The sequence below is a fragment of the Homo sapiens genome, chromosome 6 (assembly GCF_000001405.40).
Source record: "Homo sapiens chromosome 6, GRCh38.p14 Primary Assembly".
In the NCBI taxonomy this organism is placed as follows: domain Eukaryota; kingdom Metazoa; phylum Chordata; class Mammalia; order Primates; family Hominidae; genus Homo; species Homo sapiens.
The window spans coordinates 93,702,708-93,717,521 of record NC_000006.12 but is presented as its reverse complement, the minus strand read 5'-3'; the positions used below and the strand labels follow the sequence as shown (position 1 = coordinate 93,717,521).

Genomic DNA, 14,814 nt, shown 5'->3' with positions numbered 1-14,814 from the left:
TATATATATCACATGGAATACTGCCCAGCACATAGTATACACTTTATAGGTGTTAGTTACCTATTTGTGGTACTATTGAAGTAATAGCAACATTAGAGTCACTTCAAGTTTGAGGAAAACATAATTAAAAATGTATGAGTACAAAGAGAAGGAACATTTGTGCAACTCTTACTGTAATCACTTTTTAAACTGTCACTGTAACAACTTGGTCAATTAAGTATCTCCCACTTTTTATCTTATCCTAAACAAATTAAGCAATAATCATTGCAAAAGTGTTTTTCTCAAAGCTGAAACACTTGTCTTCAGATTAAAGTTTCTTTATAAAAAGTACTTAATATCCTGAGAATAGAAAGAAAATTTAGCTAAGCATATCTAATAAGAACCAAAACACAATATATGTGCTGATAAAACATTAATGGAGATTCCATTAAAATGAGAAATAAGGCAAGGATGCCACTGTGACTACTGCTTCTGCTTCTAGTTAATTTGATTATACAAACTAATACATATAGGATATGTGAGAATGATAGGAAAATATCACTCTTGCAGAAAACATGATTATCTCAAAAGAAAACAAAGGAATTCATAAAACACAAATTTTTAAAAGTAAGCCTAGTAAAACACTTCCAAAAAAATGATTGAGAGCAAGATGGCCAACTAGAAGCCCCCAGCACTCATCTCCCCTACAAAGACAGCAGAAACAATAATATTTTCTAATGAAAATAACGGAAGGAGAGCACTGGAGTACACGAAAGAAGTAACAGAAACCTTGTAGATCAAAGAAGCCCAGGATAGCCACATAGAGAACAGAAGGAAACATCTTGCCTCTGTCACTCCATCACCTAGTTGGAATCCACTTAGAACCAAGGGGAAATTCTTCCTATAGGGAAAAGGTAAGCAAATTCCCCATCATCCCCCATCACCACCTTGAATACCTACAGTCCTCACAGTAGGGACTACTGCAATCCTCACAAGCACTAAGCCCAGCTGAGGGAGCTGCCTGGGATGCACACAGCTGCACCCCACCCCCTGACCCAGAGAAGGCATCAACACTGTGTCCATCCCACTCATACCTCCCAACATGGCCCAAACCACTATCATACTACACCATCTTGGAACCATAAATATTGCTTGGGGACAAATAATCAAGATACCCTTCCATCAGTTAGGCTTTGTCACCTCTGAACCACTCTCACCTCATGGCTCATCACCCTTGGGCCAAGCTTATACTACATGCTAACATATGGGGACAAGTTGCCATGAAGCCATTCCATCGGCTTTTCTCAGCTACTGCTGTGCCATGCCCCTCAGGGGCTAAGCTGAAGCAGTGTGCTACCTCACAGAGAAATGGTACTTTAGCTGCCCAGAGCAGTCACACCCTTCTTGTGCTTGAGCTGAAATGGAGCCCTGACTCATGGGGAATTTGTGCTTTGGCCAAGTCAAGCATCTGTGCATCCCAGAACTGAACTGACATGGTACCCCACATCCCAGGGAAACAGAGGATTGACCGAGCTGAGACACACTCCCATATAGGCCAAACAACTGTAGTACCCTGCTGCTCTGGAACTAGAATAACACCCTAGAGTCTGAGCTGTTGACACAACGTCCTACCCAGGGAATGGAATCATCACTGAGCTGTCCCCTGTCCCCCAGGGCTCAAGTGATTGCTTGCTCTGCCATTCTGGGTTTATTGCTGCCACTGAACCTGAAAACACTGCTGTATACCACCATCTTAGATCCAGAGTCACCACTATGTGATGCTGCATCTTCTGGTGACTGAGTAGCCATAGTGCCCTATTGGATCTCATTCTCAAATTCCAGCTGTACTCTGCTGGGTGTGCTCAAATCTTCAGGGAATCCTCTTTTCCCTGGAGCCAGGGCATTTCTATACCCTGCCCTTCAGGGACAGAATTACAGCTAAAACTTGTCCCCCAGGGCCTGAGCTTCTGGGGGTTCTCAGAGTCACAGATCCTAGCTTTGTAGGCAATCCACATCCCACACTGACTCAGAAACTGAACATATGCCCTGAGACCCAGGTGGCACAATAGGTTCTCTGGACCCTGAGACCAGGACCTCAGCACCACAACCACTCTGAGCACTTGCAGTCTAGAACCCATAACTTCTGAAGCTGATTGTGGGCTGTATCATATTCAACATGAAGAGGGATCCCCTTTGTATATTGAAGAAATATCCCCCTTGGACCCCAAGAAGGAACCAAGACTGTCTATTGTAAGGAAAAATGAGGAGAGAAGAATCCCAAAAGCCCTTGAAACCAAGGGTCTTAACAACCTACACTTCCATAGCCATTTCCATAGACTCCTACAGCCTAGGCCTCTGAGGCATCCAGAGTCATCTCTGATTTTGAGTGCAAATGAAGGAGTTGATAGTATGGCATAGATGCTATACTATCGCATCCACTCAGAAACAGTCAACATACCCTTTCCCTCTGGTACTCTAAGGTCCATCTGAAGGTAAAAATCTTTTTCTATGAAAGCCAATCTAAAATTTGGAGAGGTGATTTTTCTACTGGATGTGCAGACATCAACACAGGGGCACAAACCACATGAAAAAGCAAAGAAGTATACACCGTCAAAGGAACACAATAATTCTCCAGTAGCTTTCTTAAAGTAAAGAAAATTTACAAATTCCCCCCAAAAAACTAAAAATAATAATCCTAAGAAAACTCAACAAGATAAAAGAGAATACATAAAGGTAATTCGAAAAAATCAGAAAAAAACAGTTCATGCTTTAAATGAGAAATTTAACAAAGAGATAAATATCATAAAAGAGAACCAAACACAAATCTTGAAGCTGAAGAATTCAATAAATGTAATGTAAAATATAATCAAGAGCTTCATCAATAGACTAGATCTAGCAGAAGAAAGTACCTGTGAACTTAAAGATAGGTCTTTTGAAATTACCAAGTGACAGCATAAAAAGAAAGAATAATAAAAAATAATAAAAATAGCATATGAGACTCCTGGGACACAATTAAGTAAATTAAATATTCACAGCATCGGAGTTCTAGAAAGAAGAGAGATGAAGATAAGGTCAATAAGCTTATTTAGTGAAATAATTACTGAAAAAACCCCAAGTCTTGGAAGAAATATAAACATCCAGATCCATGGAGCTCAAATATTCTCAAACAGATTCAACCCAAAAAGGTCCTCTCTGAGGCACATTATTATTAAACTATCAAAAGTCAAAGACAAAGAGAATTTTACAAGTGGCAAGAGAAAAGTGTCAAGTGACATAGCAGAAAATCATGTAGACTATCAGCATATTTCTCAGCAGAAACCTTATAGGCCAGGAGACAATGAGATGTTTTATTCAAAGTGTGAGAAAACAAAACAGAACAAAAACTGTCAACCAAGAATACTATACCCATTGTATCTGTCCTTCAGAAATGAAGAAAAAAATGAAAAAAAAATGTTTCTCAAATGAATGGCCTAACATTATGCCTCAAGGATCTAGGAAAAAAAGAACAAACTAAATCAAAAGTTAGCAAAAGGAATAAAATGGTAAAGAATAGAAAATAAATAAATAAATAACAGAAAACCTATACAAAAATAGCTATAAAACTAATGGTTATTTTTTAAAAATACACAAAATTTAACAAAATCTTAGCTAAATTACCTAAGAAACAACGAGAGAAGATTCAAGTATGTAAAATCAGAAGTAAAATTGGATGTATTAAAACAGACTCCTCAGAAACAAAAAGGATGTTGGACTATTAGAAAAATTATATGCCAATAAGTTTGATAGCCTCAAAAAATAGATAAATTCCTAGAAAATTACAACCTAACAGGATTGAATCAAAAAGAAATATAAAGCCTGAAGAGACCAATAACAAAAGAATAAATTAAAGCTGTAATTAAAAGCCTCCCCACCTTCCCCCCACAAAATGCCCAGGACCAGATGGCTTTACCTTTGAATTCTACAAAGCTTTCAAAGAAGAATTAATACCAATAGTTTTAAAACTCTTCCAAACAGTAGAATACTTCTTAGCACATTTTACAAGGCCAGCATGACTATCACATGTGAGCCAAAGATACCACAAGAAAATAAAACTACAGACCAATATCTCTTATGCATATTAATGCAAAATTCTTCAAAAAATATTGGCAAATCAAATTCAACAGCACATAAAATAAATTATGCATCATGATAAAGTAGAATTTATTCCTGGTATGCAAAGCTGGTTTACCAAATGCAAATCAACAAATGTGTTACATCATATTAATAGAATAAAAGGCAAAAACTACCTGATCATAACAATTGATTCAGCAAAAGCATTCAACAAATTTCAACATCATTTCTTGATAAAAAACTTCTAAGACTTTAGGTATACAAGGAAAGTTCCTTAACATAATAAAGGCCATTTATGAAAAACCCATAGCTAACATCATAGCTAATGGGGAGAAACTGAGACTTTATCTTTAAGATCTGGCACAAGGCAAATATGCACACTCTAGCTCCTTCTTTTCAACATAGTACTGGTAGTGCTGTCAAGAACAATTAGACAAATAAAAATAAATAAAAAGTATCCAAACCTGAAAAGAAGAAGTAAAATTGTCTCTATTTGCAGAATACATAATCCTATATGTAGAAAATGCCAAAGATTCCATTGAAAAACTGTTAGCTTTAATTAATGAGTTCAGTAAAATTTCAGAATATAAAATCAATATAAAAACCCATGACATTTTTATACACAGAGAATTGCCTACCCAAAAAAAAATCAAGAAAAGAATCCCATTTATGATAATATTAAATAATAAAATAAAATACTTAGGAATCAATTTAACCAAGAGGTGAAAGATTGTCCACTGAAAACTATAGAACATTGATGAAAGAAATTGTATTAGTCCATTCTCATGCTGCTAATAAAGACATACCTGAGACATGGTAATTTATAAAGGAAAGAGGTTTAATTGACTCACAGTTAAGCATGGCTGAGGGGGGCCTCAGGAAACTTACAATCATGGCAGAAGGTAAAGCAAGCACATCCTTCTTCACATGGTGGCAGCAAGGAGAAGTGCTGAGCAAAAATGGGGAAATGCCCCTTATAAAACCATCAGATCTTGTGAGAACTCACTCACTATCATGAGAACAGCATGTGGGCAACTGTCCCCATAATTAAACTACCTGCCGCTGCCCACTGGGTCCCTCCCACAACACGTGGGGATTATGGGATCTACAATTTAAGATGAGATTTGGGTGGGGACACAGCCAAACAATATCAGAAATTAAAGAAAAAGCCAATAAATAAAATATATTCCATGGTCATGGATTAAAAGAATTAATGTTGTTAAAAAGTCCATACTACCTAAAGCAATATATAGATTTAATGCAGTTCCTATTAATATCCCAATGGCATTCTTCACAGAATAGAAAAACTAATGCTAAAATTGGACACCCAAAAAAACCCCTAAATTGCCAAAGCAATCCTGAGGCAGAGGAGTGGGGAAACAAAGTTGGAAGCATCACATTTCTTGATTTAAAATCATATTACAATGCTATAGTAATCAAAATAGCATGGTTCCAACATAAATGCAGACACATAGATGAGGGGAACAAAATATAGAGCCCCCAAATGAATTGAAACATACATGGTCAATTAATTTGTGACTAGGGCACCAAAAAGACACAATGGTGAAAGGTTAATCCTTCCATAAATTATTTTAAGAAAACCATGTCTTCATTTGCAAAAGCATGAAATTAGACCTTTATCTTACACCATACACATAAATCAACTCAAAAATATATAAAAGGTGGCCGGGCACGGTGGCTCACACCTGAAATCCCAGCACTTCGGGAGGCCGAGGTGTGCGGATCACGAGGTCAGGAAATCGAGACCATCCTGACTAATACGGTGAAACCCCATCTCCACTAAAAATACAAAAAATTAGCCGGGCGTGGTGGCAGGCGCCTGTAGTCCCAGCTATTCGGGAGGCTGAGGCAGGAGAATGGCGTGAACCTGGGAGGCAGAGCTTGCAGTGAGCAGAGCTTGAGCCGTTGCACTCCAGTTTGGGCAACAGAGCGAGACTCTGTCTCAAAAAAAAAAATAATGTATAAAAAATATAAATGTAAGACCTGAAACCATAAAAATCCTAGAAGAAAACATAGATGAAGAGTTCTTTGACATTTGCCTTGCAATAATTTATTGGATATCACATCAAAAGCTCAGGCATCCAAAGCAAAAATAAATAAACTGGACTACATCAAACTAAAAAGCTCCTGCACAGCAAAATAAACAGTCAAGAAAATAAAAAGGCAACCTATAATTTGGAAAAATATTAGATAAGGGGTTAATATCCAAGAGTTATAAAAGAATTCATGCAACTCAATAGCAAGAAAACATATAGCCTGATTTAAAAATAGGCAAAAGACTTGTATAAAAATTTCTCCAAAGATGTCACAAAAATGGCCAAGAGGTAATATGAAAAGATGCTCAATATCACTAATCATCAGGGAAATTCAAATTAAAACCACTATGAGATACGACTTTACACCTGTTAAATTAGCTGTTGTTAAAAAGAATTTCTAAGCCGAGGCAGGTGGATCACAAGGTCAAGAGATTGAGACCATCCTGGCCAACATTGTGAAACCCCGTCTCTACTAAAAATATAAAAATTAGCTGGATGTGGTGGTGTGTGCCATAGCCCCAGCTACTTGGGAGGCTGAGGCAGGAGAATTACTTGAACCTGGGAGGCGGAGCTTACAGTGAGCCGAGATCGCACCACTGCACTCCATTCTAGCAACAGAGTGAGACTCCATCTCAAAATAAATAAATAAATAAATAAATAAATAAATAAAAGAAAAGAAAACAGAAATAAGGCGTGTTAGAGAGAGTGTAGAGGAAAGGGAACCCGAGTATGCTGTTGGTGGGAATGTAGATTGATGCAGTCATTATGGAAAACAGTATGGCAGTTCCTAAAGAACCTACTAAAAGAACTGCTATGTAATACAACAATCCCTCCCCTGTGTATATACCCAAGGGAAATAAAATCAACACCTCATAAACATACCTGCACTCTCATGTGCACTGTAGCATTATTCACAATAGCCAAGCTATAGAAACAAACTAGGTGTCCATCAATGGACTAATAGATAAAGAAATAGTAGTAAAAATGCAATGGAATATTATTCAGCCTTAAAAAAGGAAGAGACACTGCCATTTATTAAAGTATAGATGAACCTAGAGGACATTATGCTAAGTAAAATAAATCACATGCCAGACACAGAAATAAAATATTACTTGCTGGCACTTTAGGTTGCATGCAACCTAAAAATAAAGGTCAAATATATACAGGGAGAGTAGAGTAATTGTTATCAGGGTGAAGAGAGAAAATAACGGAAGTAGATGAAAGGATATAAAGTAGCAAATACATGGGATAAAGGAGTAGAAAGACTGGATGTACACCATGAGGACTATAGCTAATAACAGTGTATTGTATTCAGGAGTTTTGCTAAATTAGTGAATTATAGCTGTTCTTGCCAAGGGGTGGGGGAGGACAATGTGTAACTATGTGAGATGATGGATATGTTAATTTGTTCCACTATAATAACTGTTTTACCATATCTTATAACAACATGCTACATATCTTAAATATACACAATAAAATTTATTTAAGAAGAAATAAATTCCCAAGTGAGAAGAAAAAGAATTGAGTACAATTTCAACAACAACAACAAAAATATATGTCTTTACTAGTCACATGCACAAGCCATCATGACTGGAAAATCTAATGGATATACATAATAAAAATGTAGTGAAATATTTAAAAAAATCCTTTACAGTGATAGGAAAATCTCTAAATTTCCCCTAGATTAATCTGATAAGAATGTGTAAAATCTGAGTGGAGGAAAAATACAACTTTCCTATAAATATAAAACAAATTAAGAATGCTTTTTCATGGATGATAAGCATCAATCTTAATTCTTAATTCTCTGTAATTGTTCATTCTCCTCCAAATCAGCTAATAAATTTAAATAATTCTTAATCAAATTCAAATTTTTAAATTGTACTTGATAAACTGATTCTAAACTAGTTTTGTTTGATTTCTTGCTTATTTTTTTCCTTGAAACCAATTTCTTACATAAAAGTATTATTATTAATATTTTTGTTTTTGAGATGGACTCTTGCTCTGTCACCCAGACTGGACTGCAATGGTACAATCTTGGCTCACTGCAATCTCAGCCTCCTGGGTGCAAACAATTCTCCTGCCTCAGCCTCCTGAGTAGCTGCGATTACAGGCACCCACCACCACACCTGGCTAATTTTTTTGTATTTTTAGTAGAGAGGGGGTTTCACTCTGTTGGCCAGGCTGGTCTCAAACTCCTGACCTCAGGTGATCTGCCTGCCTCAGACTCCCAAAGTGCTGCGATTACAGGCATGAGCCACCACTTCTGGCCGAGAAGTATTATTGAAATTTTGGTAAAGGTAATTATTTGTTGGGTTGGACTTTTTCATTTATTGTAATATTTTAACATCTCTGACCCTCACTTATTAAAGCTAATGATATACCCTCAGTCATTGTGACACTGTAAAACACTTCACACCTTCCAAAAATTCCCTAGTGATATGAACTGACATAGGATTGAGAATTAGTGGTCTGGAAAATATGACATCATAATAAAAAGCCAGACAAGTAAAACATTGTAGCATACACACAGTAATAGACAGATAGGTCAGTAAAACAGAATAAAGAGTGTATTAGTCCATTTTCACACTGGTGATAAAGACATACCCAAGACTGGGAAATTTACAAAGAAAGAGGTTTAATTGACTTACAGTTCCATGTGGCTGGGGAGACATCAAAATCATGGTGGAAAGTGAAAGGCACATCTCACATGGCAGCAGAAAAGAGAAGAGAGAGAGCTTGTTCAGGGAAATTCCCATTTTTAAAACTATCAGATCTTGTGAGACTTACTCACTATCATGAAAACAGCACTTGAAAGACCTGCCCCATGATTCAATTACCTCCCACTGGGTCTGTCCTACAACACAAGGAAATTTAAGATGAGATTTGAGTGGGGACAAGCCAAACCATATCATTCCACTCAAGCCCCTCCCATATCTCATGTCCCCACATTTCAAAACCATTCATGTCTTTTTAACATTCCCTGAAGTCTTAACTCATTTCAGCATTAACTCAAAAGTTCTCAGTCCAAAGTATCTTCCAAGACAAGGCAACTCCCTTCTGCCTATGAGCATGTAAAATCAAAAGCAAGTTAGTTATTTCCTAAATCCAATGGGGATACAGGCATTGGGTAAACACAGCATTTCCAATGGAAGAAACTGGCCAAAATGAAAGGGGCTACAGGCCCCATGCAAATCTGCAATCCAGCAGGGCAGTTAAATCTTAAAGCTCCAAAATGATCTCCTTTGACTCCATGTCTCACATCCAGGTCATGCTGATGCAAGAGGTGGGTTCTCATGGTCTTGGGCAGCCCTGCCGCTGTTGCATTGCAGAGTACAGCCTCCCTCCTGGCTGCTTTCTGCTTTACCAGGCTGGCATTGAGAGTCTGCAGCTTTTTTAGGCACATGGTGCAGGTTGTCAGTGGATCTACCATTCTAGGGTCTGGAGGTTGGTGACACTCTTCTCACAGCTCCACTAGGTGGTGCCCCAGTAGGGACTCTATGTGGGGGCTCCAACCCCACATTTCCCTTCTGCACTGCCCTAGCAGAGGTTCTCCATGAGGGCCCCATCTCTGCAGCAAACATCTGCCTGGACATCCAGGTATTTCCATACATCCACTGCAATCTAGGCAGAGGTTCTCAAACCTCAATTCTTGACTTCTGTGCACTCCCAGGCTCAATATCATGTGGAAACTGCTAAGGCTTAAGGCTTGCACCCCGTGAAGCCATGGCCTGAGCTCTACATTGGCCCCTTTCGGTCACAGCTGGAACCACTGGGTTGCAGGGTACCAAGTCCCTAGGCTACATACAGCAAAGGACCCTAAGCCTGGCCCATGAAACCACTTTTTCTTCCTAGGCCTCCAGGCCTACGATGGGAGGGGCTGCTGTGAAGGCCTCTGACATGCCCTGGAGACAATTTCCCCTTTCTCTTTGGGATTAATATTCATTTCCTAGTTACTTATGTAAATTTCTGCAGCCAGCTTGAATTTATCCTTAGAAAGTGAGATTTTGTTTTCTATTACATTGCCAGGCCGCACATTTTCTGAACTTTTATGCTCTGCTTCCCTTGTAAAACTGAATGCCTATAACAGCACCCATGTCACATCTTGAATGCTTTGCTGCTTAGAAATTTCTTCTGCCAGATACCCTAAATTATATCTCTCAATTTCAAAGTTCCACAGATCTCTAGGGCAGGGGCAAAATGCCTCCAGTCTCTTTGCTAAAACATAACAAGAGTCACCTTTGCTCCAGTTCCCAACAAGTTCTTCATTTCCATCTGAGACTACCTCATCTTGGACTTTGTTGTCCATATTGCTACCAGCATTTTGGGAAAAGTCATTCAACAAGTCTCCAGGAAGTTCCAAACCTTCCCACATTTTCCTGTCTTCTTCTGAGCCCTCCAAACTATTCCATCCTCTGCCTGTTACACTGTTCCAAAGTCATTTCCACATTTTTGGTTATATTTTCAGCAGTACCCCACTCTACTGGCATCAATTTACTGTATCAGTCAATTTTCACGCAGCTTATAAAGACATACCCAAGAATGGGTAATTTACAAAGTAAGAGATTTAGTGGATTTATAGTTCCACATGGCTGTGGAGGCCTCATAATCATGGCGAAGGTGAAAGGCACATCTCATGTGTCAGCAGACAAGAGAAGAGAGTTTGTGCAGGAAAACTCCCGTTTTTAAAACCATCAGATCTCGTGCAACTTATTCATTATCACAAGAACAGCACTGAAAAGACTTGCCTCCATGATTCAGTTACCTCCCACCAGGTCCTTCCCACAACACGTGGATATTTAAGATGAGATTTGGGTGGGGACACAGCCAAACCGTATCGGAGAGTGTGAAATAAATCTATGCATATATATATAAATTTTGCTAGCAGTAAGCATTATTTTTGTAAACATTGAGAGAAAGATTGATTTTGTATAAAATGGAGTCAAAGACAAAAATCATGTTAGAGACTTACCTCATCCAGTATATACACACACATGCACATACAAACAAGTTATGCAGATTGATTAAAACATTAAATATAAATACATACGTAAACATCTGGGGGAAACTACAGAAGAGTACTTATAGAAACTTTATATAAGCAATATCTTCTGTAGGAAGAAAAAAATAGAAAACAATGATAAACTTGTCTACAAAAATATTTAAGATCTTATGCTGGTAGACATCATTTAAAATGTTAAAAGCAAAGTGGCCTGCAGAGTAACAAGAAAAAAATCAGTGAATGATTAATATCCATAATATAAACTGTTCTTATAAAAGATAAGAAATAAAAGTCAATTTAAAAAATAGTAACAAATAAGCCAATGAAGAAAGCATAAAATCAGTTTGACAATTTATTCTTTACTTTTAACTTTTATTTTAGAATCAGGGAGTACATGTGCAGATTTATTACAAACATGTATTGTGTGATGCTGAGGTTTGGAGTACAAATGATTTCGTCACCCAGGTAGTGAGCATAGTACCCAAAAGTTAGTTTATTTCCACCCTTAATCCCCTCCTAACCCTTGTATTCCTCAGTGTCTATTGTTACCATTCTTATGACCATTTATAAGTGAGAACATGTGGTATTTGCTTTTCTGTTTCTGTGTTTGTTCACTTAGGATAATGGTTTCCAGCTGCATCCATGTTGCTGCAAAGAACATGATTTCATCATTTTTAATGGCTGCATAGTATTCCATAGTGTATATGTATCACATTTTTAAAAATATTCCAGTCTGCCATTGGTGGACACCTGGGTTGATTCCATGCCTTTTCTATTGTAAATAGTGACAAACATATGGGTGCATGTGTCCTTTTGGTAGAATTATTTACTTGCCTTTGGGTATGCACCTGGTAACAAGATTGCTGGATCAAATGGTAATTCAACTCTCAATTCTTTGAGAAATCATCAAACTGCCAATGAAAAAATGCTAATCACCACTAATCATCAGAGAAATGCAAATCAAAACCACAATGAGATACCATCTCACACCAGTCAGAATGGCTTTTATTAAAAAGTCAAAAAATAACATATGGTGGTGAGGCTGCTGAGAAAATGAAACACTTATACACTGTTGGTGGGAATGTGAATTAGTTTGACAATTTTTGAAACAAACACACAGACACACGCACACACACATATCCTCTAGGAATATTGCTTGAGAGCAGATGCAAATAAATAAATTTGTTAATTTGTAATGACATCATTACAGTATTGAGACTTCCAACACAGCATATCATTTTACCGAAAAAAAATGTTTTCCAGACAAATCTACAACTTTCTTCAATTGAAGACTAATTCTGATATTCAAAATGTCCCTTCAGTATCAGAAAAGAAAAGCATAAAACAGAAAGAAAGACAGAAGGAGAGAGAGTAAAAAGTAGAGAAGGGAAGGGAAGGGAAGGGAAGGGAAGAGAAGAGAAGGGAAGGGGCAGGGCAAAGGCAAGGCAGAGGGAGGAAGCAGGAGGGAAGGAAAGAGGGAGGGAGGGAAGGAAGGAAGGAAGAAGGTAAGTAAGAAAAAGAAAAAAGAAAGTGAGAAAGAAGGAAGGGAGAAGGAAGGAAAGAAAGAAGGAAGGAAGGAAAGAAGGAAGGAAGGAAATAAAGATGGGAGAGAACGAAAGGGAGTAAACCTAGTTATCTTTTGATGAAATCTATGAGTTTCAAGGCCTAAACAAAACCTAATGTTGAAAATGAGGAATAATTTTTCAAGAAAGTTATTATCAGAAAGGAATAAAAATTGAATTTCTATTCTCTAGAGCATTAATTAGTAGAAGAAAAAATTACACCTAAATGTTTGTAGAGCATTCTTGGAATTAGAAATCCTACAACCACCTTGTTTTTCTAATGTGAAAAAAAAGAGAGAAAAATACCTTTTGGAAATGCAAAACTCTGAATGTATACTATCTCCATATTTCTCCCTCTTTGCTCTCCCATGTGAATTCAAAAGTATAGCTTAGATGACCAGAAGAAAAATCAAAATGATTTAAGAGTTTAATAATACTGTTTTGAGCATTAAAAAGGATAGTAATCAGATAACTAAGTCTAAATAATTGTAAATATATACTAGTTATACATTTTTAATTCTAAAAATAAAACTATAATGTAAACAATAATAACTAACTGTAATAAACCGGGTTTATAAACTAAATATGTTGAGTGATGGTTGGGGAGAAAGTTGAAACTTACCAATTAATTCTTTTAAATAGAAGACCTCAATAGATATAATCTGATTTATCAGGCAGAGCCCTGCATGTAGTGCACAGCAGAGAAGAGGAACTCTGTAAAGGAAACTGAGAAGGGGCAGGCAGACAGGAGGAGAGGATGACATCCTGCAAGCCAAGAGATGGGTGAGGTTTCCAACAAGGGTTTGGCAGTGCCTAAAAGGTGAGAGATCAAATAAGAAAACTAAATGAAAATTATATACTTGTTAATTATTATTAGTGACCTTACCAAAGTAGAAGCAGATTAACAGATTGTAGTATCTGGGGAGAAAAAGAAAATAGATAGCACTTCCAAAAACTTTAATTTTAAGGAGGAAGAGAAAGAGTGTGCTAAATAAAAGGAACTTGAGTTTGAGAGCTTTTGTTTGCTTCTTTCTTTGTTTTAAAAATGAAACAGAATTTTCTACCCTTGTGTAAAACAATACCAAGACCAGACTGTATCTAAGTAAAACAGTATTGATGACTAGGAACTTAGCCACTTCTTCCTGTGAGATATGACTCTGAATCATCTAAAATAATTTATCTATTAAGACGAATACCTTGCCCAAAACTTGCTTTAATGTTTGACTTGCTTTGCTCACCAATCCAGTCATAAACTTTGCCCAATTCCAACCCAGTTTTCTACTTTTGAAATCCACTGCAAAAACATTCAGCCTAGGCCCTAGAACTCTATAAATACATACCTTACCTATCCTCATTCAGACACTGTGAAGATTCTGTCAAGGTAGTGTTCTTTCTTGCTGTAAGTGAGTACTTACTGTCTAATAAGCTTAGCTTGACCTAAACAACAAGTTTTTGGAGGTTGTAAGAAGTAGTAGATGACAATATGTTAAAGCTAAGAGTTGTTCGATTATGTTTAAATCTTGGTAGGAAAATTTGGTAGATTCAAAATCATGGTAGACACAATCAGAAGAGTAACCCACACAGGTGGGAAGGAATGGGAGAGGCATGCAGAAGTAAAGTTGTAGATTTAACCTCAGTTAGAAGAGGCTTCTACACCACTGTCCCAAGAGAGGAGGAGTGAAATGAAGGCAAATATAAGTAATCAGATATGCCTGGCTGGGATAGGGAAAGGGAGAGTCAAGGAGCTAGCAGGTGTTTTGGTGTCTAAGTCACATAACTGCCTCTGTGATCCAAAGTCAGGACACTGCAGCTACCACACCCATGAAACTAATGACCCAACAGTGGAAGAGCTCCTGCCAACACTCACTCCTACCAGAGGCTGTTTTTCTATCAACACTGCCCCAATCAGATGGCATTGACTTTCCTTGTTTTTTCCTTCTATATTAGCATAAATCAAATTCACATCCAGAATGTTAATTACAAGGGGTCTTGGGAGTGTGTTGTTTGCTTTCCAAATTCTCCAAATAGAAGGAAAGTGAAATAAAATGGGGAAAAAAGGTCCAAACCAAGTATTAAGTACAGTTGATCCCTTAATGCAAACTCATCC

At 37.4% G+C, this 14,814-nt stretch overlaps 1 long non-coding RNA gene across 2 annotated transcripts in view; it reads right to left on the bottom strand.

The window, feature by feature from the left end:
* TSG1 (tumor suppressor TSG1) overlaps window positions 1-13,505 on the bottom strand; it is a 72,604-nt gene extending 59,099 nt beyond the window's left edge. The window contains exons 1-2 of one of the 2 annotated variants that reach the window (NR_152794.1): window positions 13,330-13,505; window positions 8,795-8,806 (exon numbers count right to left, since the gene is read on the bottom strand). This is a non-coding gene — a long non-coding RNA (tumor suppressor TSG1). Of the gene's footprint in view, window positions 1-8,794; window positions 10,521-13,329 lie in introns of those variants that run through there. The other variant, NR_015362.2, reaches the window with a different exon arrangement.
* Window positions 13,506-14,814: the final 1,309 nt, after the last annotated feature.